The sequence below is a fragment of the Homo sapiens genome, chromosome 13, assembly GCF_000001405.40.
Source record: "Homo sapiens chromosome 13, GRCh38.p14 Primary Assembly".
NCBI classification, from domain to species: Eukaryota; Metazoa; Chordata; class Mammalia; order Primates; family Hominidae; genus Homo; species Homo sapiens.
In genome coordinates, this window is record NC_000013.11 from 28,485,838 (window position 1) to 28,513,804 (window position 27,967).

General features: G+C 44.3%; 1 protein-coding gene across 4 annotated transcripts in view, besides 5 other annotated features; it reads right to left on the bottom strand.

Moving 5' to 3' along the window:
* FLT1 (fms related receptor tyrosine kinase 1) overlaps positions 1 to 9,291 on the bottom strand; it is a 194,783-nt gene extending 185,492 nt beyond the window's left edge. For all 4 annotated transcript variants that reach the window (NM_002019.4, NM_001160030.2, NM_001159920.2 and 1 more), the window contains exon 1: positions 8,943 to 9,291. In NM_002019.4, the coding sequence (NP_002010.2) occupies positions 8,943 to 9,006 (64 nt within the window). In that variant the 5' untranslated portion in view covers positions 9,007 to 9,291. The remainder of the gene's footprint in view (positions 1 to 8,942) is intronic.
* Positions 8,777 to 8,826: a silencer, noted in NCBI's record as "silent region_5212". NCBI's record gives its function as "represses an Ori minimal core promoter by ATAC-STARR-seq in GM12878 lymphoblastoid cells {active_cell/tissue: GM12878}" and the evidence as "EXISTENCE:reporter gene assay evidence [ECO:0000049][PMID:35858748]".
* Positions 8,907 to 9,026: a silencer, noted in NCBI's record as "silent region_5213". NCBI's record gives its function as "represses an Ori minimal core promoter by ATAC-STARR-seq in GM12878 lymphoblastoid cells {active_cell/tissue: GM12878}" and the evidence as "EXISTENCE:reporter gene assay evidence [ECO:0000049][PMID:35858748]".
* Positions 9,147 to 9,196: a silencer, noted in NCBI's record as "silent region_5214". NCBI's record gives its function as "represses an Ori minimal core promoter by ATAC-STARR-seq in GM12878 lymphoblastoid cells {active_cell/tissue: GM12878}" and the evidence as "EXISTENCE:reporter gene assay evidence [ECO:0000049][PMID:35858748]".
* Positions 18,185 to 18,685: an enhancer, noted in NCBI's record as "H3K4me1 hESC enhancer chr13:29078159-29078659 (GRCh37/hg19 assembly coordinates)". NCBI's record gives its function as "activates a minimal SCP1, AML or CMV promoter by ChIP-STARR-seq in naive H9 embryonic stem cells {active_cell/tissue: H9 hESC(naive)}" and the evidence as "EXISTENCE:reporter gene assay evidence [ECO:0000049][PMID:30033119]".
* Positions 24,815 to 25,109: a silencer, noted in NCBI's record as "tiled region #5274; HepG2 Repressive non-DNase unmatched - State 24:Quies, and K562 Repressive DNase matched - State 9:DNaseU". NCBI's record gives its function as "represses a minimal TATA promoter and a strong SV40 promoter by Sharpr-MPRA in HepG2 and K562 cells {active_cell/tissue: HepG2 | K562}" and the evidence as "EXISTENCE:reporter gene assay evidence [ECO:0000049][PMID:27701403]".

Here is a 27,967-nt window from a genome sequence, read left to right on the forward strand (position 1 = left end):
AGGAAAGATCTCATGAAGAGGGAGGCCCAGCACCAAGGACCCAGTGGAAATGCCAAGGACTATAGATGCATGAGAAACCCAGGTGAGACCCGAAGGGAAACTACTCAGCTGAGCCTAGCCCAAAGGTCTAGAAGAATCATGAAGCATAATGCATTGTTGTGTTGGGTGACTAAGTTTTGGCACATCTCGTTATGTAGAAATAGATGGCAGATCCAAATGGCTATTGTGCCTCAGCCTTGTAGAAACAGTGACTGTGTGGTAGTTCAAGTGTATGCTCTTTCTGTATTTGAAAATAAAAGCACCAAAGTGGAGCTCACGCAATATTAAGAATTACATGTTGTACGGGTTACCCTGGATGCCCCCAGGAAGGGGGAAGCAGTTTGAATTCTTGGTGTTTCACAAGAAGTGTTCCCAGGACCGTGGTTTCACACGATGGGAGGCCAGCTCTGTCTCCAACCAGCAGTAGCTTTTCACAACAGTGGGGACAGAACCCTGGCACATCATGAAAGTTAGGAGGCCACCCTGCCTCCAACAGATAGAATTCAGCCACCCAAGTGGGAGCCATACTGATCCCAGCACCGGAAATGCAGATACGGAGGCCCGGATGGAGAGGAAATTTTGCAGTCATACTGGAGGAAACCAGGGCTGGACCAAGGCACGTGGGTGCCCGGGACAGGCCAATAGTATGGTGTTTGCCAATATTTACATAGAGAAAAGACTGAGCACTCCACAGCATAAGGCAGAAGCATAAGGCAGAGAAGGAGGACCATTGTTAGTCTAGACGGGCAATTCACTTCTGCCCCTAACGTACGTACCTCACTCGGCAAAACAGTCCCCCTCTCCTCAGAAGGCAATTTAATCTAGACTCATTGATTCAATGCCCTGGCATTTGATCTAAGTATTCTTTCTTGCACACTCTACTAGCACATACTCTTCCTGGCAGGAATTCTCGTAAATAGTTTCTTCCACCTTGTCGTATGTCTAGTGATGATTTAGTGCCTTTTACAGATTGGCATTTGGGCAGGTGCCTCCCATGTGGCCAGGCCTCTCAAACTGGCCCCTGGGCAGAGGTTCTCAAAGTGTGATCTCTGGACCAGGCACAACAGCATCCCCTGGGAACTTGTTAGAAAAGCAAATTCTTGGCCCTATCCCAGGCCTACTGAATGAGAAACTCTGGGGTGGGGCCCAGCCAGCTAGTTTTGCAAGCCCACCAGGTGATTCTAATGTGTGATGAAATTTGAGGTTCTTAACCTCAGCTGCCCATTGGAATCACCCAGGAGCTTTAAAATTACCTATGCCTAGGTCCCTCTCAAGAGCTCATGATTAAATTGGTCAGAGGTACAGCCAAGACCCGAGGATTTTTAAAAGCTCTCCAGATTATTCTAATGTAGAGCCCAGGCTGGGGACCACGGCCCTAGAGAGAGGCAAAGGCTTTCATAGACATCACTTGGCAGACTAATTCCTAATTAGGGTTTTGCTACAGGTGGCCTTGAGTTTAAGTGGTTTTATATTTGTGTATAATAACAGCCAAGGCTTTTCATTTATGCTAGGTTCACTTCAGGCCTCTTTTAACAAAAGAATCTGATAATTGTTGTAGCTCTGCCTGTGTAGTCCACATGGGTGGTTCGGTGGCTTGAGAGGAAATCCATTTGTGCTCCACCCATTAAATAGAAGGATAGAAGACCAGGCTGAGAAAAAGTGCCTGTGAGCACCGTGATAATCTGTGAAAAGGTAAAAGCATTTGTCAAGACTGGCAATGATGACAAGGAAGAATGTTAAGTGCAAATACATTCCATTTCAAGACAGTAAGAGGCACATGAAATGTGTGATCGGCAGCGGCACAATGCAGCGAGACAATGACACCTCCCTGACAACCAAAAATTCTGCAGGATACTTACCGCTGCTGGTTTTTGCCACCAAGTCATTTTCTTTCAAAAGCAAAAGGCTTGTAGAACTTTATGGTGAAAACCTGGCTATTTAATTGCATTTTTACTATTTTCCACCAAATCCATATTTTCCAAGACCTTGATCTCGCCACCCATGATTTGGTTAACCATGGTATTCTTCAAGACCACAACCTCTGTTTACTTTGATTACAAGTCTAAGCCAAGTACAAGATTTTGTAAAGAATTTTGGAGGAGGACACCGATGTCCCAGCAGAAGGCGGCATGAGACCAACGTGGGAGCCAGAAGAGAGAGGTTCCTGGCTGGCCCAGGTCTAGTCCCTTAGTCACACACGTCAAAGTTCATCACTAGGGTGTTAGTGAAGAGGAAATGGGACCAGGCGCGGTGGCTTACGCCTGTAATCTCAGCACTTTGGGAGATCGAGGCGGGTGGATCACTTGAGGCCATGAGTTCAAGACCAGCCTGGCCAATATGGCAAAACCCTGTCTCTACAAAAAACACAAAAAAATTAGCTGAGCATGGTGGTACATGCCTGTAATCCCAGCTACTTGGGAGGCTGAGGCACAAGAATCATTTGAACCTGGGAGGTGGAGGTGGCAGTGAGCCAGGATTGCACCACCGCACTCCAGCCTGGGCAGCAGAGCAAGACTCCGTCTCAAAAAAAAGGAAATGGACCCTGACACCAGAACTGACTTTGGATCCTTTACTAAAATCAATGCTTCTCGATTTTTAATGAAAAAACAAACAAACAAAACCACGTGGGGATTTTATTAAAGTATAGGCTCTGAGTCATCAAGTTCCCAGGGGATGCTGATGTTGCTGGACCTCGGAGCACACAGAGAGAAGCACGTTTTGGAGTATGATGTGGGAATGTGCAGTGTGGGCCGGGATGGGGGTGAGGATAGGGAGGCACCAGCTCGAGCCCAAGCCATGGGATTCCAATTTTTAAGAACATGTCTCGCACCTAGCAGGGTAGTCCTGCCAGGAACCCATTTATATGAAGGGTTGAGGAAACCTCATCCTAAAGAAAGAGGAAGTTAGACAGACCAGTGTGGTCCTGTAACCAAGGCCCCTATTAAAACAGAGTTGATTCTGACTGTGGCCAGACCTCTGTCATTCAGGTATGCATCTCAGCCCAGCACCCAAGGACTTGGGTTTAAGAGAGGGCAAGAAAGTCAAACCCTAAAATTTGAGGACTCTGTTCTCTCTAAAAATTGTATAACACGCTGCAGGAAAAGGCTGAGGTGCTTAGCACCTCACCAACAGAGGCTAACACAGGACTTCTGCAGTGACCAGAGCCTGGCTTTGGTGGCTCACAGGCCCCAGCGAAGCATCATGCCCACACAGGAGGGGAGGACATGAGACAGTTTCTCAAAGAGTTGAAAATCATAGCTGATCTCATACATCTCAATCGCTCACTGAAGAGGACAAATATTATCTGTTGAGAACAGTTACTTTAAGTAATCCCTTGTAAATGAGGCCAAATGAACAGGCAGGAGCACATTACTATACTGGAATAAACTCATGGAATAAATTTGTGTCTGAGATTGCTTCTGCGAAATGATAGTGTGGCCACATATTCATTCATTTACTCATTCGTTCCAACACTTACCGAGAGTCTCTGTACTAGGCTTTATATTAGGTGCCAGCGGTCTAAGGACAGCTAAGACATGGGGTCTCTACCAAAGAGAAAGGACACAGACACATAAAATCCTGACAATGCAAAGTGAGAATTACTGAAGGAGGAGTACACCTCAGGGCTACAGGAGAGCAGAAGAAATGGCAAGTGCTGTCTGGGAGCTACAAGGAGGAGCTCCCAGAGATGGTGATTACTGGGCTGGATCTTGCCAGCAGGAGAGGAGGAGACACAGAGGGAGGGAAAAGGTCTTGCAGGCAGACGAGCAGCATGAACAGAGTGATGAAAGTGAAGGCGCCTCTGAAGAAGGGGGAATAATTTGTTTGACTAGGGTAGAGTTTGTGTAGCTGGAACCCAGTGTGTGTGTGGAGAGAAGTGGCGAAAGACAAAGCTAGTACCATAAGCCACAAGTATGTAAGCCACAGCTGTTCAGGAAAAGGATACCAAGTGCTCGTAAGGAAAGTTAATCTTCTCATCAAATCTCTTGGCATGCTACTAAGCAGCCATCATTTTGATTCTTAGTTTAAACCCCTTATGTGCGTTAAGAAAATAGAAGAAAACTTCATATTAAAAAGATGTCATTTCGAAAGAAATTTTAGCACTGTAATAATGTTAGTCAATAAATATTTGAACATCTGTCTTCCGTCTGGGGAAGAGGAAATACACCAGTGAAGAAGAGATGTTGTCTGTAGCAGGAACATCAGGTTCTGTTCCTAGGCCTGCCGCTAGCCAGCTGTTGACCTTGAAAAACAGCACTGGCCTCCTCTGGGCCGGTTTTCTCATCTCTGGCATGAGTAGATTGGGTCAATGAGGTTCCATCTAGCTCTTACAACGTGTGTGTGTATCTGTGAGACAAGATCAAGTTCCTCAAAGAGCTCAAAATTGAGGAAAGGAGCAGCAATCAGAAACAGCTTTCAGGCATCCAGCTTTACCAAGATGGATGGGAAATCCCCAGGAATTCTTGACATCTCCCCACATCCGCCCCAGCGGCAATGCAGGAAATCTAGTCCACTATCTTCAGCAGACTCAATGCAACTGTTTCCTTAATGAACCCCCCTGCAGCCCCGTGAGCTAAGTCAGAGGCTTTCTTTTCAAGCCCTCCCTCAAATACCCCATTCCTCCAATTTCCTTCCCCTCCCTCAATCTGGTATAAAATCCAGCAATTTAATCAGCAGCATGCAATTTCCACAGCACCCAAGAGTGTGAGGAACCACCAGTGATCCTGGAAAGCATCTGGCAGGAGATCTTGTCATTTCTTACAAGCCTCTCCTATAAACGAAGGCCAATGGAGCAGAATGGACTGTTCGGTTCTACCAAATTGCTTAAACCAAATGCCACAGATGGTCTATACTTTTAACTACTCACAGTAATATATTTTTACTTAAAAAAAAGTCTGGTATGATTTCAAATGCCCTTCCTCCCCTACCTGCAATGACAAATGCACTGAAAAATGATGATATTTACTTGATACCCAACACACCCCTAACTGTGAGATCCAAACCAAGAATTAGACACGCCTGGCCTCTACTAACACCAGCAGGCTTCGCATTTAACATTCACGTGCCAAGATAGCTTCTCTCACTTTTTCTCCATTCTTATCCCCACCCACATACACATATCAGTTTAAAGCACTACAGAAGCTACTTACTCTGTTATTTGTTCTTGTCTTGCCCAACTGCCCAAGCCAGGTCAAATATCAGCCATAACTCTGCTGTGTAGATCTCAATAGGCTGCATAACCTTCCTCGAGGACATTACATTATTTTGGTCAATATGAAACCATTTTTTGGTAACACATCACCTTCAACTTCCATATTAAATAAATTTAAAGTAGACTTAGAAATGTCTCGATCATTTTTGGAAAGAACAAAGTAATTACTTGGTTTGTTTCTTAAAAGTCACGTAAAGTAGACTCAATTTTAAATAAGGGGTTTAGTATCCCTGTTAAAATCTGGAACTTTTTTTAAAAGAATAAAGCCATTCTGTTAATCAAATAAGTGTTAGCTTTAAAAATTCAAGAAATAAATAGGGGTTTAAAATGACTGCTATCCTTAGAAGAGTTAATGCAACTAGAGTTTTGAGGGAGCATCTACTTTATAGAGTTATACATTCTGCTAGTGAAAAAAGCCCAAGATAAAGATGACTGCTGGCTCAGGCATCCTCTACCAGCCCATCTCTTCCAAAACAGCCTATTCAAGGCCAAATTGACTGGCTGTTTAGGTACATGCTACTAAAGAAAAAGAAAGTTTAATGTGATTAGCAGGGGAAACCCAGTTCATCCTAACAGCCCCAGCATCATATGGTTTCTCATCCACTCTATATACAAATATAAATAAGGTGGGGAAGAGAAAAGAGAAAGACAGACACGGTGTTCAGGCCATTTCTTGGAATCATTCATTGAATTTTGGAGTCAGAAAAGGGCCTTAGAAATCAACCACCTATACTAACGTCTTCATTTTACATACGAAAACAAAGTACCCACTTGGTGATCGTTAGAAAAGAAACCAGATAGCCTATTATAGAATGTCCAACAGGGAAATTTTAAAAATGTAACAAAGTGCTAAAATAGTAAGCAACAATATTTGAGGAACTGGAGTAAGTAGTCACCTACAGTTCCTTTGTAACATGATGCTTCAGTTGGAAAACTGTAGGCTGCCAAAGCTCCTAAATAATTAATATTTCGAATATGCAATTTAGACCAAAAAAAAGTGCAGCTTCATAAAACCTTGGAGAAAACAACAAAAATTGTTACAAAAAATTAACTTTATTATAAGAGATTTATTACATTCAATTTGAAATAGGTATTTTCATGTGCACTTTGATTTAATATTATTAATATGGACTTCCTTCACAAAATTCACAATTTCAGTATTTCCACTTAGTTATAGTAAATTGTAAATGTTAGCTGTTCAAGAACTCAAGAAAAATGAGGGCAAAGAAAAAGGTCTGTAGCTTTCATCCAGGTTGTGATACCTTAAAAGTAAGAAATGAGACTCAGAGCTGGAGAAAGAGGACTGGTATCCTTTATAGAGAAAGAGCAATAGAGAGGACTTGAAAGTATCTGAATTATTGGCATCTTTTTATTTCCCAGAATGTCTGGAAGAGGTAAATAAGCGCTTTAGAGGGGAAAGGCATTATCTTTTTGTAATACTGAGCCTCTGGTTATTTTACCTCTCAATGCATGTGCACACCAGGCATGCACACACACAGAATATTAATAGCTGATAAGTATTCAAAGATTACATAGTACCTGAAGGAAGGCAGACCCAGGTTCATAATGACGCAAGAGAACTCTGCAGTGGGGAACCGTGGCTTCTTACTAGACATTGCTTCCCGGATATGCAGCCTCTCAGTTGAGCATGAAAGCCCTGATGCGGTTTGTAAAGTAGGCGGTAGCTGATTGTTTTACTGTGAGATGCTTGTTAACCAGACAGAGAAACTATGAGTTTTCAAAAGCACCCATGATGCCGACTGAGCTAACATGAACTAACAGAGTGTTCTGTTAACTGTTAGGTAAAGAGGTTCTCAGCTTGCCAATGTTAGTCCTTTCTTCCCAAAAAAGTGCAAATAAAAAAAAAAAAGAAATTCAGAGTTGCAAAACTGCTGCCCCATTTAAGTAAATTATAATCTAAGAAAAATCACAAGAGGATCCCACTCACATTTCTGTAAAGTTTCCACTGATCTAAGATGCTTCCAATTACAAAGAAAACGATGCTTCACTAAAGTCAGCATGTTTTCAAAATAAAGATATAATTATGTGAAGCAGAAAATCTAATAAATCACGTACTTTTCCCTCCGTAATTTTAGATTCATGTAATTTAGCTAGATTTATCTTTACATAATAGTCGAGTGAGGTATTTAAATTCTCTAAGCAATTATATTTTAATACAAGTGACTTTTCAAAACAAAAAATGTATTTGTGAAATAGAAAATACAACATTTTATTTAATATAGTTATGTTAGCACCTTTCCCAACCTACAGTGAGTTCTCAGAAGTTACCACTTCGCCCTGTCTCCGGGTTTAGTAGTTTCTCCAATCTAATTGGAACTATTACTTGTTACTTGGAAACTGACGGTCTAGTTAGTCTTCCCACTGAGAAAGAATATTTAATTATTACTGCTTTTTGGGTTTAACAAGCTTTTTGTTGTTGTTGTTGTTGTACTACGCTCCATCCTATTGACTTTTCTTCCCGGGAATCATTGCAATGACTTATTTTATATTACTATATTTTATTTCATATTTTACCTTTTCTCCACGATGCTTAAAAGAAAGGCGCTCCGAAATCTGGCTCTCTGCGCCCAGGGGAACGAGGCACAAATCTCCGCCACTCAGCCCCACTGAGCAGAGACTGCGAGTCCGAACCCTCAAGTTCCTCGGGGCTTTGACCCCTCAATGGCGGCGGTCTAACTGCTGGTAAAACCCCCGGCCCCTGACTGTTCCACCGCCCGTCTCCCAAACGCCCAGCGAAGGCTGACTTAGGTGGCGGGCGGACCTCATCGATTCCTCAAACCACATCGTTTGGTCAAAATCGCCCGCCCTCTCTTCGCTCGGATTTTAAAGGCTAGGCTTGTAAGTCAGTAAGTTAACGGTATTTGGGCCCTGGGCTGCCCTTGTGGGTCAGGGTCACTGATGTCCGCGACACGGACTGGACCGCGCACCACGCCTGCTCCCGGCAGAGGCCCCACCCGGGTGGCTGAGCGCAGCGCACTGGGGCCCCGCGGTCCGAGAGCGGCGGGGAGGAGCGGGCGCTCGCCGAGCGTTCCCCGGGACAGTCCGGCTTGGGGACTCAAGCGGGTCATGGGATGCCGGCGCTGGCCCTCTCCTGAGATCCTCCTGCTCCCCCGCAGGCACGAGTCCCCTCCAAATCGGCTCCCCTCCTACACTCTCGTGACGCGAGGTCGCGGCCAGTGCCCAATATCACCAAAGTCCCGGCCTCAGCCCAGCCCCGGGCAGCCTGGCAGGCTTTCAGGAGCCTCTGCTCCCGGCTCCGGGGGACCCTGCGTACCTGCCCCAGGTCCTCTGGGAATGGGCTCTGGGTGCCAGGCAGGTCCCGGTGCGTGCTGCTCCTAGTGCCCAGGGCCTCGGCAGTGAGACCCCAACCCGACAGCTGGATAAGGGATCAGCGATCCTGTCGCAAACGGACAGCCCCAGCGCGGACCCGGTCTGAGCGCTGATGCTCGCGGGTCCAGGCCAGCCACTCCTCGAGGCGCTCCCTCGGAGAAAGGGCGCAGCGGCCCCAAGCGTGCCCGCTGCAACTAGTGTCCCAGGTTCTCGCCGTAGCCAGCTTCTCCGGGCTACAGCCTCGTCTCCCCGCGTGCACCCCGCCCTGGCCTCGGAGGCTCTGCCCTCCGGCCGCCCCATCGCAGCCCGCCTCAGGCCCCGGCCCCCAGCCGCGCCTCACCTGTGAGAAGCAGACAGCTGAGCAGCGCGCACAGCAGGACCCCGGTGTCCCAGTAGCTGACCATGGTGAGCGCGACGCGGCCTGCTCGCCCGGTGCCCGCGCTCCCCGCGGCCAACGACCCGGCCGCCAGAGTCCGTCCTCTCGTTCGCCGCCGCCGGCCCCGCGCCCTGAGCGCCCGTCTCGCGGCTCCAGCCAGGAGACAACCACTTCCCCGGGTAATCCTCGCCGCCAGGCGCCCGCTGGCCGCTGCACCCGAGCCCCGGAGCCCGCTCCGAGCCGCCGCCGCTGCCGGGGAGGAGCCGAGAGGAGTGTCCGCCTGGCGCGCTCCGAGCCTCCCGCGGACCTCGATGAAGAGCAGCCGAGGGCGGGGGCGATTTATAACCTTTCCCCAGCCCACTTCCTACCCCGGCACCTCCTTCTGGTGACGTCAAGGGGTCCCCCACCCCTCATCCGCCTCCCCACCTACCCTCTTCTTCCTCCCAGGCTCGCTTCCCTGCGGCTACGGAGAGGGGCGGGGGCCGACGAGGGCGGGTGGCCCGGGGCCGAGCGCGCGTGGGGAGGTGCTGGCGACGCGGGCCCGGGAGCGCGGCCCCGGCAGGTTCAGGGTCTTTGCTCCGCGCCCTCTTGCCCTTGCCCCTCCTCCTGCCCATCGCGCTCAGGAAATCCTTGCAGACTCCCTCCACCCGGCTTACTCAGCTCTGGGGGCCGCCCGAAACTGGGGAAGGGACAAGGCTGAAGCTCCGCCGCCTGGCCCTAGGGGCGGAAAGTCCGATCCAAGGGAAGCTGGCCGCGCCTCCGCGACGGTGTTCTTGGCACGGAGGACTGAGGCGCAGTCCGGCTGTCTCCCCTTGCCTGCTCTTCCCGCGCTGTCCCGCCGCTCCTGACCCCTTCAGACTGTCCCGAGAAGTCTAGGAAGGCACCGGAGACCCTCGGCACAAGGCACTGAACCTGGAGCGCCTGAGGGGAACTGACGCTTGCTTGGCACCTTTGGGAAGACTGCGAACCAGCTCAGGTCCCAGGGGAGCGTGTCCGTGTCTTTTTCGGCCGCATTGATGCACCCGCCCAAGTCATTTCCTCAGTCTTCTGCTTCCTAGAAGCAAAACAAGGAATAACATTATGATACCTTTAAAAAGCTGAGGCGTGAAACTGCTCCTGCAACTTGGAAGCGCAGGGCACTTGAACTTTATTCCCTAAATGCTCGAAAAAGAAATCTTTCTGGTGGCAGCTTGCTACTCAAGATGAGTGACTCTGACCACAACCGGCTGAAATTAACTTGAGGCCCTAGATCATTTGCTATGACACTAATTCCACGTTGTTCCTCAATTATGTCTCCATTACCTCAAAGGCTGAAGTCGTCCTGGCTGCACGGAGCAGCCCAGTCTTGTCTCTGTAAATACCGCAGATTTGAAAAATAGTCCTATTGGAACCCGTCAGAGGGATGTAATACAAGGGACTGTGATGGCTCTTGAACGGAGCCAGAGACTCTTCCTGAAGGACTGGACTACCTCCCCGCCTAGGAAGGTTGGGTAACCCAAAGTTGCCACATTTCTGGGCTGCACACCAAGGAGAGGCCCCGGCCACTCCACACAGGAAATGCACGTCTGGGCACCTGGAGCCGCAGGACCTGAGCCACTAACTGTCCCTGGATCCCTTCTGCTTCAGAGGCAAGGAAGACTGCCGGAGTCATTGCTTGCCTGCTGGCTTCACCAGCGCTTTCTGTTTTTCCAGTTCTCCTCACCACTCTTCCTGGCGCCTTTCTCTGCCTCCCGCACCCCTGCCTCCTCTAAAACCCACAGCATCATCCCTCAGAACAGCTGGAAGCGGACAGCTGATCCTTCTCCTTGCTGGTCCCCCAGCCCAGAACACAGCCTGGGACATACGTGCGGAGCCACAGTGTCTGTTGGTCTCACCTGAGAGCTGCTTGTCACTCCCACACCCTCTTTCAAGGAGAAGCTGTCAGCATTGTCCTTCTGCAGCATTCAACAGGGGCCAGGCATTGGGTTAGGGCTGAAAACACTGATGGAGAGCCATCATCTTTGCCTTCTAAAGGGCTTGGACTGTGATAAGAAGGTGGACACTTGAAGTGGCTGCAGGACCGGCATTCCAGTGCTGGAGGGGTGTTTAGTCCTCCATCAGCTCAGAGAAGTAAAGGCACATTTATTGGCAGGGAAAACCCAAGGAGGGCTTCTCAGGAGAGACACACATTTGACTCTGGGGGAAAGTGGTCCATAGTACCATGTACAAAGGTTTAATTTGCTAATACATTTTTTCAAATGCCATTTTGATATTTTTAACTCATAAAGAGACAACACTTTCCAAACCTGCTGCCAGCAATGAATCTACATTGTGTCTGTAAAGCCAGAACAGGTATTTGATGGACAGCTGAAACAATCTTTATAATCTAAGATGCTAATCAATGATATTAACATGTTGCTCAATTATTTAAGGTTAGTAGAGTCACAGTCGAATCTAAGATTTATATTAAAACTATGCTGCAGTAAGGGTGGGCTTCCACATTTCCCAACTACTCTTTTGAAAAGTTGCTTTTAATTAGAGTCAGCAATTTATTGACTATGACTTCTTTGTTAGTTGCATTAGCGTTCTCACAAAGAACTCAAAAATGCTACAAATTTTAGCTTAGATATGGGGAATAAATGTATAGCTCCCAATCCTCTCCCCAAAAGAGATAATACCTTTGAATGAGAATGGGCTATAGCACTCTCCTAACTAAATCACTAATGAAAGAGGTTTTATAGATAATACTGATGGAGAAGATGGAATTCAACACGCCTGGTGGGTATAAAAAGCTATTGAAGTAGGCAATCTGCTTGCTTCCTGCTCACATACAAAAGAACATTTCATCTCCTGTTTGGTTAGCAAAACCAGACACTCTCTCTTGTTATCAGCTACAAACATTCTCTTGAGGTTTCTTTCTCACCCCTATTCAGAAGCACACTGTTGCTAAATCCATCAGCTTTAATATTCGAGACTGAATAAGAGTGTTGGAGCACCAGTGTGAGAGACAGGAGGGAGCCCAGGCTCTCACCTTCCTCCAAAGACCAAGCATGGAGCTGATCAGCCACAGTCACTGAGGATCAGTCAGGAATTTCTTTTCCACTTGGGTTAGGTAGCTTGATACAAAAGGAAAAATACACTCTATGGGCATACTCTGCATAATGCAAATATGTATGGTTGAATACAAGAACCAAATGATCTCATAAAACCCTTCTGTGTTATATTTTAAAAAGCTTCACAGTACATATCCTCTGGACAGTTCAGGCTCCTTGGTCTAAAAAGCACACGCTCCCAAATCTCTGCTAAGAAGTTCTGCGGAGTTCACCAGGCAGGCACATGTATGAGTTTACTTATCAGATGCTGATGACCCCATTGGCTCAAAAGTCTTGCTATGGGAAGCTACCACTGTGGCTGAAATGCCCCCATTTTCAAAGAACTTAAACATCTTGTACTGGGTTTAAAAGCCATTCAACCCATCTACCGAGTCAATTCGTGGAATTCCTATTCAATGCTCCAATATCTCCACATGAAAATTTATTGAACACTTAAAAACACCTCCTGTGCCATGGGCATCTTGTCTCCAGCCTCAACATCCACATCCCTTTGGTCACTCTTCAGCTGACACGCTCCAGAAATTCCATCCAGCATATCAGTGTCCCTGCAGGTGACACGCTTAGGATTGAAAATGCAGCACAATTATCATTTCCCTACTCCTAGAGGTAGTTTTTCTTTCAGGCAGAGAGAAAAGCCTGTGGGAAGGCCCAGTGGGAGCGAGGAAGGAAAATCGTTCAGGTGGGAAGAGCAGCGTGGAGAAGGAAGCAAAGGGGACAGCCCCCTCCTGGAGATAAGGCCAGTGCCACCGAGAGCAGGGCAGCACTGCCCTGGTGGCACCTCTGGGGCCGCCGGCCTGGGCTCCCTGGCTCCTCCTGTTCCTGCTACTCATGCTCCCGTCTGCTCCTGACTACCTTCTCCCGGGCATGGGTGGGCGCTGCTGGTGTTTATAAGATCGCCATTGGCTTTACTTGGAATTCTCCTCCTGCTACTCCCAGGGGCTACTACGGAGAGAACTTGCTTCTGTTCCTGGGACCTAAGATCAAAGGAGCCTTTTCTGTCAGCGCCTTCATACCTTGGACTCTTCCAGAACTTATTCTTGGTTAAAGCCCCAAGGCTTTCTCATGAGAGCTGCTATCTGGCTGCCCTTGTGCAGCCGCCGCTTGGGTTGACTCAGGCTGCAGGCCCTGAGCGTGTTGTTTAAGCCTTTTGTTTGTTTTAGTCTGTCTTTCCAGCATGTCGAAGTCTTTCTGGTCTCTGATTCTGCCATCCTGTGGACTTTCTATAGCTCCCGCTTCAAATGATCCACAAATACGGTAAACGTGCCTTCTGGGTCATCATCAAAATCACTGACAAGGACAAAGCTGAGTGAGTGAATGAATGAATGAATGAATGGATGGATGAAAGTAGAGATCTGTGGAGGTTGAGCAAACCAAGGAAGGACTCAAATTATTCCTTTGTGTCATTATCTCTAGCTGTATGTTCACCAAAGGAGGCTGCATATTAACTCATTCACATTTACCATGTCATTATTTAGGAATAATTGATGGTCCTAGCAAGAGAAAATAAGACAGGTACATTTTATTGAAGGCATACTAGAAAAGTTGAAAGGAAAAAAAACAAAAAGACCAGACTGGGATAGTTAGAGAAGCATGGGGCAGGGGAAGCGGCAAATCAGAGAAGCAAATAAGGCCTAAAGGAAAAGTGGCCAATTAGAGTAATCTCTAGGAACCTCCTCTAATCAGTATCACTACTATCTTGCCTAAGGTCAGTTGTATCTCAGCACTTAACTGCCAGCCATTGACTCTTCTCCTTACTCTTTTTCCTGTTTTATTACTTTTAATACACTCATAGTCATTAAATATAACATTTTAGAAAGATTAAAAGAAGGGAAGGTCTGGAGGATGAGTCATAATTCCATCATCTCAGCAGAGCCACTGTGATCACTGTGGTGTATTTCATTCGAGCCTTTTCCATACAGACGGCTTTTATCTTTCCATGTTTCTATAGAGCCTTCATAACTGTTGTAGCTAATAGCCGCAAACTATTATCCTCTTGCTAGACATTCCAGTTTCTGCATTGTAAATAATTCCAAAATAATCTTAATTTGACACTGGAATGTTTTTAGTCAGATGTACACACGCACATGCACGCTCATCAATATCCCTGCTTTACTTAAAACCCTACCAGCTTAGTCCAACAGTGACCTGGCTGAGCAGTCGAAGGAAACAGCTCGTAGCATGGTGCATGATCCAGGAAACGTATTCTTTCATTCAGCAATGCCATGCTAATTCGATTGAAAATAGTAACATAGGAGATACAATTATTACTCTAGAAGACCTTGCACTCTATTAGAGAAGGCCAGGCTTCCATGAAATATTAGGAAACATTTCTAAGGCGATTAAAGGCAAGATACAGTTATGAGTGCTAAAAGGAATCATTAGTTACTGTATTGGGAAATGGCTTTGAAGGTAGTAACAGTTTATATCAGCAGAGAAGAGAAGGCATTCTGGAAAGGCGGAGAAGGTAATAAAACCAGTCAACAGTGGGAGAGGCCAGTGAGGGGTGGAGGTGTTGGGAACAGGGAGGCTGAGTTTGCACAGGTAAGGTTGAGGCCTGGACACTTGCGAGATACTCACGTGTGTTTCATTCTGTCAGTACAGAAAGGGGTGGCTTTAGGATGGTTAGACTGGCCAATAGTGGGTTGCAAGGGAATGAGACTGGAGGGAAATGAATAAACTATTAAATGAATTCATGAAGAAACAAGCAAATCTATTGAGAGGCAATAGAATAGGACTGGTACCATGAGGGGAAGAGGAGGGTGCAGGGTGGCTCTGGTTAGCAGTTCAGGGAAGGGATGTAGAGATAATTAAGTTTGGGGTTGAGGTGAGGGAGAGGGAAAAGCCCAGGAGAACTTCAAGGTTCCTGGGAGGACCCTAAGGAAGCCAGGCATTGGCTGATGGGGATGTTGTGAGAGGTGGCTGGAGAGGAGGCAGGAGGACTTAGTTTTAGCCATGTTGGGATGAGTGGGCAATTGAAAGCAACTGACTTTATTTTCAGGCTGGAGCCAAGGCAGAGTTTAAAGGGATGGCGTGCTGGGCGTGGTGGCGTGTGCCTGTAGTCTCAGCTACCTGAGAGGCCTAGGTGGGAGGATTGCTTGAGTCCAGGAATCCAAGACCAGCCTGGGCAACACAGCAAGACCCTGTTTCTAAAAATAAATAAATAAATAAATATTTTAAAAGACAACAGGATAGTGTGGCTCAGGTCTAAACATTTTTTTTTTTTTTTTGAGACAGAGTCTCGCTCTGTCGCCCAGGCTGGAGTGCAGTGGCATGATCTCGGCTCACTGCAAGCTCCGCTTCCCGGGTTCACGCCATTCTCCTGCCTCAGCCTCCCGAATAGCTGGGACTACAGGTGGCTGCCACCGTGCCCGGCTAATTTTTTGTATTTTTAGTAGAGACGGGGTTTCACCATGTTAGCCAGGATGGTCTCGATCTCCTGACCTCGTGATCCACCCGCCTCGGCCTCCCAAAGTGCTGGGATTACAGGCGTGAGCCACCGCGCCCGGCCAGCTCAGGTCTAAACATTTTAAGGAAGTAGAAACTCAACAGGTAGTGCTATATCCTGACTTCACATGTCGTATATATGTTATAATTTTACATGTAACATATACGTTGTATCTATATAAGACAAAAATCACATATATTTGAGATAGATAGCCTGAGTTTTCTGTAATGGCTAGGCTCTGACCAGGCAGTTTAATTTCCACCTCTGAGTAAGGAGGGGTGCCCAGCAGAGTACTCCAGTTTTAGCCTTCCTTCTTCAAAAGTTCCCGAACTCCAGACACACCCTCAGGGCAGATTTGCTGGCGACTTCTGTGGAAGACCAGCCCTTTCCTTCCTGCGTCTCTTCCAGGCTCCTCCTGGACACACTTGTCATGAGCAGTGGCAGCAGTCACGGAGCAGCCAGCCACACTCTGCCCTGGACTGCAGGCCATCTGCCCAGCAGTCAGCCAGGCCTACGGAAACACGGCTGTGTCACCATCCTAGAGGCAAGGCTGGCATTTGTAAGAAAGTTAGATCCCCAAGCTCAGTGAAACCTACTGTGGAGGGAAGAATTGTGTATCATAATTGGCTTTAGATTTTTCTGTTGAAAAAACAATAATCCATAAAAATAAGCTCCAGTTATACCACTAGTGTGGGTTTTCTTGCTAAAATTTGAAACCCAGCCAAATAATAGTTTATTATTTAAATAAAATTCTCTTTCTTCACATGCTGAAGTAATCACAAAGTGATAAAATGACTGATTTGCTTCAAAATTATCCAAGACCCCAATTACACCGATTTTATCTTTACAAATTATATGAATATGTTAAATTTTCACACGTACCACAAAAATATGTACATTTCCTATGCCTCAATTTAAAAAATTATCCAAGAGGAGTGAAGATGAAACATGATAGGCCATGTATTGATAATATTGAAACAGACCTAATTTATGAACATTTCTTTCCTCTTATGCATATGCTTACAATTTTTTCAGAGCAAAAGTTAATTTTCTCTTCTAGTCTGAAATTGGTCCAAAGTGAATTTCAGGATCTGAGCCTGAGGCTACAGAGAAAAGGCGGGATAATGAATGTAACCTGTTGGCCAGAGCTTTGGTTTCACTGATAGGAAGACATATGTCCTCCCCGTGAGTTTCTAGCAAATTGTGTGTGCGTGTGATGAAGAGGCATGAAGAGGTGTAAAGCAATCAGAGAGGAAACAAATCCTAGTTGATATGGAAAGCCTGCTGCAGAAAGAAGTAGCACGGAGAAGTAAAAAACATATAAACAATGCAGCTGAAGAAAAAGAACAGGAAAACCCTTTGAAAGGAAAAATCCAGAAAATTACTATCTATATGATGGAGAGGAGGAAAATAAATCACTTTTCTTTTTCATTTTATTTGTTGAAAATTAAATAAATTCCTTTAAAAATCCCTTTTCTTCTCCATGTTATTTATTTGAAAATGATGGCTGGAGATCATGAAGTAGAGAAAATGAAATTTGGGGTGAGAGGATTAAAACCCATGCTGCATCGTCTAATGACATTATTAAAAAGGACTTTAAAAACTATGTTTTTAAAACAAAACAAAACAAACAGGATTTGTTGGCAAGCATTCTAGGCAATTTGGGAACAGGAAGATAATATTGCAAGACCATTAGCCATTTTTTTCTAGAACTTATGCACAAGTCCCCATGATTGAAAAAGGAAAGAAATTCAGCAGGTTGATTGGTAAAGATAAACACAAAATCATACAATCTTAGTGTGCAAGTGGACCTTATAGATCTAGTCCAATCACCTGATCTTGCTTTGAGGAAAGAGGCAGCGAGGTGATGTGCTTGGCCAGTCACACCTGAATCAGAATGGAGGGGTAACCCTTGACCTTCTCAGACTATTGCTGAGAGCGTCTCCCCACACGATCCCCATGCCTTCTGGCCTCTTCACAGAAGGAGAGAGCCTAAAGATGCATTGCTCTGTTCTCTGGATGCTTGTGAGATGATCTCATCAGTCAGTGAAAGGCAGGCAGGATTTGCCTGCAGGTCAGCTCAGAATTTATTTAGGTAAGATTGCCACCTTTGGGCCCAGGGTCACTTGCACCCAGAAAGCAACATAGAGCAGAGGGCAAAGAACTTCTACTGCCAGAGTGGGTCTGTGCACAGCTCCTAGGCCAGCCTACCGGGGGTTTGAATCTTGACTCTGCCTCTTGCAGGATATCTGACCTTGGGCAAGCCACCTAATGTCTCTGGGCTCTAGTCTCTTAATCTCCAAAGCAGGGATGATGATAGAATAGTAGGGTTGTTGTGAGGATTAAAGGAAGAATCCAGAAAAGCATTTATAATAGTGTCTGGACCAAACTAAGCACTGGATAAGTGTTAAGTATGTTTACGTGAGTAATGTTTGCCATATGCCTCCTGCCTGCTGCCTGACTGATCCTTCAGTACTTATCTCCATGGGTTAGCTATACTTCTGCCCTCAAATTCCAGGTCTCTGATGGGATTGGGCCTTGGATGGGCACCAGCACACCGTGTACATTTGCTAGCCTTTTTACTCAAGACTGAACACTTTCTTCCTTCCCCTTAGGCATCGTTTGAGACCCCGCCGCCTCTCTGACTTCAAGTGTGCCCTGATGGTTAAAGCCAGCCTCTGGGTGCCAGCCCCATCCTCTGGACTGGAAGCCCTCAGATGCCCATTCGTGGGACCCTGCCCCTGGGTAACTGTTGGATTGCGTGGCTGTTCCTGCAGGGCAGTTCATTGCTGTCTTGTTCCCTGCTCCCTTGCTTCTCTGTCCTGCCCCAGTCCAGTTGCTCATCTTCTCTCTCTACCAGCCTCTGCTGCCAAAGTCCTAGCACAAAATCCTTATCTCTATGTAAGAACCCTCCCCCACCCTGGCTCCTCAAATAAAACAAAAACCTTGATCTGCCAAGGTTGATCTCAGAGGGAGGAGCTCATCTTGGTGAGGAGCTCATCTTGGTGAAGACCTCTCTGTCCTCCTCTTGTCCTGACATCTCCTCTCCTTGGGTAACCCAGCAATCACTCCTGCCCCTGGGGACTGGTCTTCAGGGCTCCATGGTGCCTTATGGGGTTTCACACCTGTGGACAACTGCTTCCCTGAGCTTCCATCAGCATCCCCGGGATAGCTGGAACCTTTATCAGGACCCAGCTAAAGGCTCAGGCAACACAACAGCGGAGGTGGCACACCCTGTCCAGAGCCCACCCGAGGTTCTCCTCTTGCTTCTGTCTTGAGCACCACCCTTCCCTTTTCCATCAGACTGCATGATCTGGTTGAGCTCCAGAACCAGGAAGAATCCACAGGTATGGGCTTCAGTAAAAAAGCTGGAGGAGGTGGAAGCTGACAGGCTGCTGGCCTGCCTAGGCCTTTTCTGGCCACCAGTCCCCCCTGCCTGGCTGGGCAAGCCATGGCTCACTTTTGTCTTGGCTTATTTTGTACTTTGCACTTAAAATGCTATCCCATTTTTTAAAAAAATGATAGTGGAAAAGGAAAAGGTAGGAATCCTGTGATTTCAGTATCTAGAAAGAATAGCAGTTATAATTAACAACCACTGAAAATACAGTTTCAGTTTAGAAAAGCCCCCAAAACCTGTTCCTTATAAATAAAAAAAGAAGCCCCCAAATATTAAAGTAATTGCTTTTCTTCTATAGTCACAGTGCCAGGTCTTGCAAGTGAAGAGTCACTAATTATTTGTTTATTTTTTAGAGACAGGGTCTTGCCGTGTCACATAGGCTAGAGTACAGTGGTACAATCATAGCTCACTGCATCCTTGCACTTCAGGGCTCAAACAATCCTCCCACCTCAGCCTCCCCAGTTGCTGGAACTACAGGTGTGTGCCACCACACCCAGCTAATTTTTTATTTTTCATAGAGGTGGGGTTCTCACTATGTTGCCCAGGCTGGTCTCAAGCTCCTGGCCTCAGGCGATCCTCCCGCTTCAGCCTCCCAAAGTGCTGAGATTACAGGCATCACCATGCCCAGCCAAGAGTCACTTAAACATGTATTTTTTGTTATTTATGGTACTTTTTTTAAAATCGTTAATAGTGTAAGATGATTTGAAGAGCCTGACCACACCTAAAAATTGGGAAGTCTGCAACAGGCCACCAGGAGTACCTTTAGCTTAAAAGACTTCTCTGGGTCCTGGAAGGAAACTTTCAGACTGTCGGTCTGATCCCCTGACACTAAAATTAAGACTTGGGCCACAAAGGAAGGAGATAAAGACCTCAGCCCCAGGAGGAAGGTATATTAAGAAGTCAGGAAATTCACCCAGCTCAGAGCCAAGGGCAGGCACTGCAGCCTGAAGGTGGGGTAAGAGAGGGGGGCTGTTATTGTGCTCTTCAGCCTCGGAGCTTCCTGTCTCAACACATGCCTGACTTGATGATCCTCAGGCAGTGTTGTAAGACTGAAAGAGCAGACTTCCTGAAGCACCCACGAACGTTAGAACACGCAGGCAAGAGTTTAAACTGGAATTCAAGTCTGGAATCCAGACTGGAATCCAGGTCCACTAGGGTATCCAAAGGAGCTGTCATCGTTTGCTCATGCTGGGACCTGCACTTGCACCCAGAACACCCTGACAATTTCTGTCAGACTGTTCAACTCTCACCTACCATGTATGAGTGTGGGCCCAGGTGCCCTGTGCCCAGGAAGTCTTTCCTGAGCCCTCTCGTCAACCAGACCCTTCTCTCCTCTGGAATGTACAGTTCTGAATTTTTATCTTGTACTTCTTTGTATAGAAACTGTGGGGAACAGCCTGGGCAACATACCAAGACCCTGTCTCTACAAAAAAATTTAAAAAATTAGCCAGGAGCAGTGGCACCCACCTCAGCTACTCAGGAGGCTGAGTCAGGAGGATTGCTTGAGCCGAAGTGGTTGAGGCTGCAGTGAGCTATGATTGTGCCACTGCACTCCAGCCTGGGCAACAGAGCAAGACCCTGTCTCTAAATAAATATATGTGAAAAAGAAAACTGTAGGGAACTGCAAGCAGATCTTTTGTCATTTAACTGCTTGTTTAAAAAGCAAATATAATGGTGAATATACCAGTTAGGAATGCTTTTGGTTGCAAGTAACAGTACACCTGATTAACTGCAACTTAAGCAATAAAGACAAAATTCAATAATCTCACATAGTAAGGGGTCTGCAGAAGGCAGTTTCAGGTTGGATAAGGCAATTTCACAATGTGATGAAATGGCCAGGCATGTCTTCCCTGTCTTCTGCCCTGCCAACTCTGATGTCGCTTTATGGTCACAAGGTGGCTTGTACAACTACATTCAAGGCAGGAGGTGGGGCAAAGAAGTCCTCTCCTTGCTGAATCCTATCTATTTATTAAGTCATAGAAAACTCTTTCAAGGAACTACCCAGGATACTCTTTATATCTCATTGGCCAGAACTAGGTCACATATCTACTGGTCCGTGTCAACCCTTAGACCAATCATTGGCAAAGGGAAGTGGAATGAGCATGACTGGCCCAATCGGGATTATCCCCCAACACACACACACACACACACACACACACACACACACACACACACACACATATACACGCTGGGCCGGGCACTCCCTCTCCTAGAACAAAGGATCTCCTTTTCCCTCCCATCAACCTGAACAATATGGGGGGGCCTGTTAGCAGCCAAGAGGAAAAAAATTATCTTTTGTGTGCACAAAATCAGTGTCAGTCACAGTGAGTAGATAGTCATTGATGAATGACACTGAAAAGCCATCAAAATTGGCCTTCCTACAACAAAGCATACATCATGTCATCGCTTTCCATGTTAAAAACTGCAGAGTATCCATATTGTGCCTATGATAGTGGGAAAAGCAGTGACCTTTGCTTGGAATCAGAAGAGTGGATTACTTACTAGCTATGTGGGCAAACCAATTTACTTTCTTGGGCCTCAGCTTCCTCATTTGTAGAAAATGAATGAGTTGGGTTTGCTTCATCCCTTTTGCTTCCAACACCCTCTGGCTTCCAAGGCTTCCTCAAATCTGGTCAGACGTCAATATTTAATCATATTTTCTATTTATTTAATCCTATCAAGAGTCTCACTTCCTTTCATCTAGTCCCTTCATTGTCCCAGAACACACCATGTTATTCATTCATTTATTCCACAGACATTCACTGAGTGACTAGACATGCTAGACACAGGATGAGAGCAATTCTTTGGGAAATGGAGCAGCAACAATTTAGAGGGACGTGGGTCACTGCATGACATACGAGAAGCTCCATACTACCTACTTCTAGATTGCTTCATGAGAGAAAATGATCTATTTTTTTGAGCCACTATTTTTTTAGTGTCTTAGCCTATATTATAACATTAAAAAGTCTCTCCTGACTACTTGTTGAGAGCTTAGTTGTGTCCCCTCAAAAATTCATATGTTGAAGCCCTGATCCCCAGTACCTCCGAATGTGACTGTATTTGTTTTTTTGTTTGTTTGTTTTTGAGAGGGAGTCTCACTCTGTCACCCAGATTGGAGTGCAGTGGCGCGATCTTGGCTCATTGCAACCTCCGCCTCCCAGGTTCAAGCGATTCTCCTCCCTCAGCCTCCCAAGTAGCTGAGATTACAGGCATCCGCCACCAAGCCCAGCTAATTTTTGTATTTTAGTAGAGATGTGGTTTCACCATGTTGGTCAGGCTGGTCTCGAACTCCGTACTTCAAATGATCTGCCTGCCTCAGCCTCCCAAAGTGCTGGGATTACAGGCGTGAGCCACTGTGCCCAGCCTGTGACTGTATTTGGAGATAAGAGGTCTTAGTTTGCTTGTGCTGCTATAACAGAACATCACAGGCTGGGTAATTTACAAAGAACAGAAATTTATTTCTCACAGTTCTGGAGGCTGGAAGCGCAAGATCAAGGTGCTAGCATTTGCTGTTGAGTGAGGGCTGCATCCTCCAGAAGGGAGGAACTGCATGTCCTCATGTGGCAGAGGGTGGACAAAATACATTAATCCTCTTTTATTTATTTATTTATTTATTTATTTATTTATTTTTGAGACAGAGTCTTTCTTTGTTGCCCAGGCTGGAGTGCAGTGGCGCGATCTCAGCTTACTACAATTTCCGTCTCCCAGGTTCAAGCGATTCTCCTGCCTCAGCCTCCCTAGTAGCTGGGATTACAGGTGCCCAGCACCACGCTCAGCTAATTTTTGTATTTTCAGTAGAGACAGGGTTTCACCATGTTGGCCACGCTGGTCTCAAACTTCTGACCTCAGGTGATCTGCCTGCCTCGGCCTCCCAAAGTGCTGGGATTACAGGTGTGAGCCACCACGCCTGGCCAAAGCCTCTTTTATAAGGGCTTTAATCCCATTCATGAAAGGAGATGCCTTCATGACCTAATCACCTCTTAAAGGCCCCACCTCCTAATACTGTCACATTGGCAACACCTGAATTTGGGAGGGGACATTTTCAAACCATAGTATATGATCTTTAAAGAGGTGATAATGAAGTGATTAAAGTGGCCCTAATCTAATATAACTTGTCTTTATAAGAAGAGGAAATTTGAACACAGGTACAGAGGCAAGACCATGTGAAGACACAGGGAGGAGATGGCCATCTAAAAGCTAAGGAGAAGAAAAAAACATACCTGCCAACACCCAGATCTTGGGTTTTTAGCCTTTAGAACCATGAATGAATAGATTTCTGTGAAGCCACTCAGTACATAGCACCTTGTCATGAGGCCCTAGTAAACACCATTCCCGCCTATCTGCTTTCTTAATTCTTAAAATTAAAAGTTTATCTTGTAACCAATAACATACTATTTAAATCTTAATTTTATAATGTTTACACTTTTGTTCAAGGCTTACTAAGGGTAGAAAACATGTCTTAAACTTTTTAAGGATTTCCATTTTTAGTGTGATTTTGAAACAAAAGCTAGACAGTCCTTTAGTAGGCCTAATAAAGAAAAGAAAAAAGACAGAGGAGACAAAAATTAACAAAGGGACCAAATCTACAGATACAGTCTGGAGTTTGTAAAAATCATTCAAAAACCTTCTGGATTAAAGTATGCAATAATTTTGAAAATTTAGATTACATTGACAATGATTTATAAAAAAGTACAAAATTGGACTGAATAGATTCTAGATGAAAATGACAGATGGGATTTATATCAAAGAATTTCCCTGCCTTAACACATTAAAAGAAAAATCACAAAAACCAACCCCCAAATATTCATTAACAGCACACAGGCAATGATGGAATTATACCTTAATGAAACACACCTCAAATATTAGTAGCCAAGGAACTTCTGGAGCAGAGCTGAAAAGCACAGAAAGGCTAGGCTTCTAATCCTACCCTCTGCTCCAAAACCATGCTGGTGAGTAGAAAAATCCTAAGAATTCTCATTAACGCCTCCCACTAATACCCACTGGAGAGGTATAAGCTATATAGGTGTCTTAATCTTTTTCCTCTTCTGTCTGATGAATAGTAGCAATACAAGTGAACATATCACAAGAAAAAAAAATCCCAAATCTGAGACGGTCCTTACATGGGGATTGGGAGTCCTGGTTATGAGCATTTTAACAAAATCTCAGAGGAGGGAAAAGGTTCACATATTCTAAAACATACCACTTAGAACCACAGATAAACTCTTCCTTTCCAACTATCCATTTTTATATTAAAATATATAGAAAATATGAAATGTTCAATCCACAAACTATAACTCGGAGGGGAAAATTTGTTTTTAAGTATAGTGGAAAAGGAGTTAAAAAAAAGTCATCCACATTGTATTACAGAAAATAGAAGGTCTGGACAGAATTGTTCAAGATGAAAAGAAACAGCATTATAACTAGGCAAAGATGCTGCAAGAGAGGGGAAGGAAGGAAGAGAAGGAAGGAAGGAAGGGAGAGAGGGAAGGGGGAGAAGGAAAGAAAGAAAAAGAAAGAAAGAGAGGAAGGAAAGAAGGAAAGAAGGAAGAAAAGAAAGAGAAAGAAGAAAGAAAAAAGAAAAGCAGACAGGCAAATAAGCACAAGACTGGCAAAGAACTTACAAGAAAACTTTTCTCAAATAAAAGAAGAAAATTCTTCCCAATCTCTTTACACTAGAAAGTAATTTTATAAAGGCCATTAATTTAATAAAATAAGGGCTCAAGAATGATATGATACAGTAAATGTGACAGAGATAATGTTATGGATTCACCAAATCTTGTGTCGTTTTCTTCTTCCTGGGCACACAGGCATTTTGCATTCCCTTGAATCCTACCATCTGACCCAAAAGTGTATATTCTAGCAATAAATCTAATTGATAGGTGAACATTCCAGGCCAATTCAAGACAATGCCAGGCCAGCAAGTGTGTGTGAATTCTTTATGCTGTCATTTCTCCTGCCTGGGCAACTTAGAAACCATCAACTCCATGTGGTATAGCGTTAAGGTTCCATGTGGGATAGCTTTACAATGCAAGTACCCTGGACTCTGTGTTATCTCTTGGAAAGGAGCTGCTCTGGAAAGCTGTCAGCCCTCACCCAGTTTTGCATGAAAAAAAAAAAAAAAACAAAACACCTCATTGTGATAAGACACTGAAAAGTTGTGGTTAGATTTGTTACTGTATCATAACCTAGTTCATCCTGACCAATATTATGAAAAAACAGAATGAAATAAATGAGTTTGCAGACCTAAGGAAAACAACTGAATGTCCAAACCATATCATTACATAAGAGATATAGAGAACTGGTATAATTTTTTCCTTAAATGTTTGGTAGAAATCACCAGTGAACCCACCTGAGTCTGGTGCTTTCTGTTTCGGAAGGTAATCAATTCCTGATTCAATTATTTAAAAGATATAGGCCTGTTCAGATCATCCATTTCTTCTTGTGTGGCTTTTGGCAGACTGTGTCTTTCAGGAACTGGTCCATTTTATCTAAATTATCAAATTAGTGGGCATAGAATTGTTCATAGAATTCCTTTATTATCCTTTAAATGTCCATGGAATCTGTAGCAATGTCCCCGCTTTCATTTCTGATATTAGTAATTTGTGTAATTTGTGTCCTCTCTCTTTTTTTGTAGTTTAGCTAAAAGCTTATCAATCGTATTGAGCTTTTCAAAAAACCAGGTTTTGGTTTCATTGATTTTGTCTATTGATTTCCTGTTTTTTATTTCATCGATTTCTGCTCTACTGATTTATTTTCTACTTAACTTGGATTTAATTTGCTTTTTTTTTTTTAGTTTCCTAAGGTGGAAGCTTTGATTTTTTAATTTTAGATATTTTTTCTTTTCTGATATATACATTCAGTGCTATAAATTTCTAAGCACTGTTTTTGCCTGTTCCCACAAATTTTGGTAAGTTGTGTTTTCATTTTCATTTAGGTCAAAACATTTTAAAAGTTGTCTTGAGATTTCATCTTTGACCCATGTGTTATTTAGAAGTGTGTTGTTTAATCTCCATGTATTTTGGTATTTTCTGATTATCTTCCCACTAGTGATTTCTAGTTTAATTCTATTGTGGTCTGAGAGCAGACGTTATATAATTTCTACTCTTCTGAATTTGTTAAGGTGCATTTTATGTCCCAGGATATGGTGTCTTGGTGAATGTTCCACATGAGCTTGAGAAGGATGCATATTCTGCTGTTGTTGGATGATATCATTTATAGATATCAATTATATCCAGGTGATTGGTCGTCTTGTTGGCTTCAACCACATCGTTACTGACTTTTTGCCTGCTGAATCTGTCCATTTCTGAAAGAGGGATGTTGAAGTCTCCAACCGTAATAGTGGATTTATCTATTTCTTCTTGTAGTTCTATCAGTTTTTGCCCCATGTAATTTTTTTATTTTTTATTTTTATTTTCTTTTTGAGACAGAGTTTTTATTTTTTATTTTTATTTTCTTTTTGAGACAGAGTTGAGTGCAGTGGTGCCATCACAACTCACTGCAACCTCCACCTCCCAGGTCCAAGAGATTCTTCTGCCTCAGCCTCCCAAGTAGCTGGCATTACAGGCACGCACCACCACACCTGGCTAATTTTTGTATTTTTAGTAGAGACAAGGTTTCACCAAGTTGGCTGGGCTGGTCTTGAACTCCTGACCTCAAGTGATCCACCTGCCTCAGCCTCCCAAAGTGCTGACATTATAGGTGTGAGCCACTGCCCGGGGCCTGCCTCATGTAATTTGATGGTCTCTTTTTAGGTGCATACATGTTAAGGATTACTATGTCTTTTTGGAGAACCAATCTCTTTATTATTATGTAATGCCTGTCTTGATCCCTGATAGTTTTCCTTGCTTTGAAGTCTGCAATTAACATAACTACTCCTGCATTCTGTTGATTAGTGTTAATATGGCATACGTTTCTTCATCCATTTACTTTTAATTTATATCTGTTTTCATATTTAAAGTGAGTTTCTTGTTTTTTGATTCATGCTATCTTGTAATTGGTGCATTTAGATCATTGATGTTCAAAGTGATTGTTCATATAGTTGGATTAATATCTACCATATTTGTTACTGTTTTCTATTTGTTGCCTTTGTTCTTGTATTCTATTTTTGTTTTCTGCTCTTTTCTGCCTGTTGCAGTTTCAGTTGAACATTTTATATGGTTCAATTTTCTCTTCTTTCTTAGCACACCAGTTGCATTTCTTTCTTTTTTTCTTTTCTTTCTTTCTTTCTTTTTTTTTTTTTTTTTTTTTAATAATACTACACTACTTCCTGGGTAATGGGAATATCTTATAAAAATAATCTTTTTTTTTTTTGAGACGGAGTCTCACTGTGTCACCCAGGCTGGAGTGCAGTGGCACGATCTCAGCTCACTGCAACCTCCACCTCCCGGGTTCAAGCGATTCTCCTGCCTCAGCCTCCTGAGTAGCTGGAACGACAAGCACATGCTACCACACCAGGCTAATTTTTGTGTTTTTAGTAGAGATGGGGTTTCGCCATGTTGGCCAGGCTATAAAAATAAAATAATATTAGTTCCTCCTTCTCACCCCTTGTATCATTGCTGTCATTCATTTCACTTATATGTAAGCATACACAAGCATATAAATATGGTATATACAAAAGCATACACAACCGAATACATTGTTAGTGCTTTGAACAAGCTTATCTGTTAGATCAATTAATAGTAAGAAAAATAAGAAGGTAAAAGAAAAATTTATCTTCACTTATTTCTTCTTTGATGCTCTTTCTTTCTTTATGTAGATCTTAGTTTTTGACTTACATTATTTTTCTTTTTCTAAAGTACTTCTCTAAACATTTCTTGTAAGGGAAGTTTACTGGCAACAAATTTCCTCAATTTTCATTTGTATAAGAAGTCTTTATTTCTCCCTCACTTTTGAAGGATAATTTTGCCCAGTACAGACTTCTAGGTTGGTGTTTTATTCTCGCAACACTTTAAATATTTCACTCCACCTTTTTCTTATTTGCATGGCTTCTGATGAGACGTCAGATAAAATATTTGCTCCTCCATCAGTAAGGCATTTTTTTCCTCTCGATTCTTTC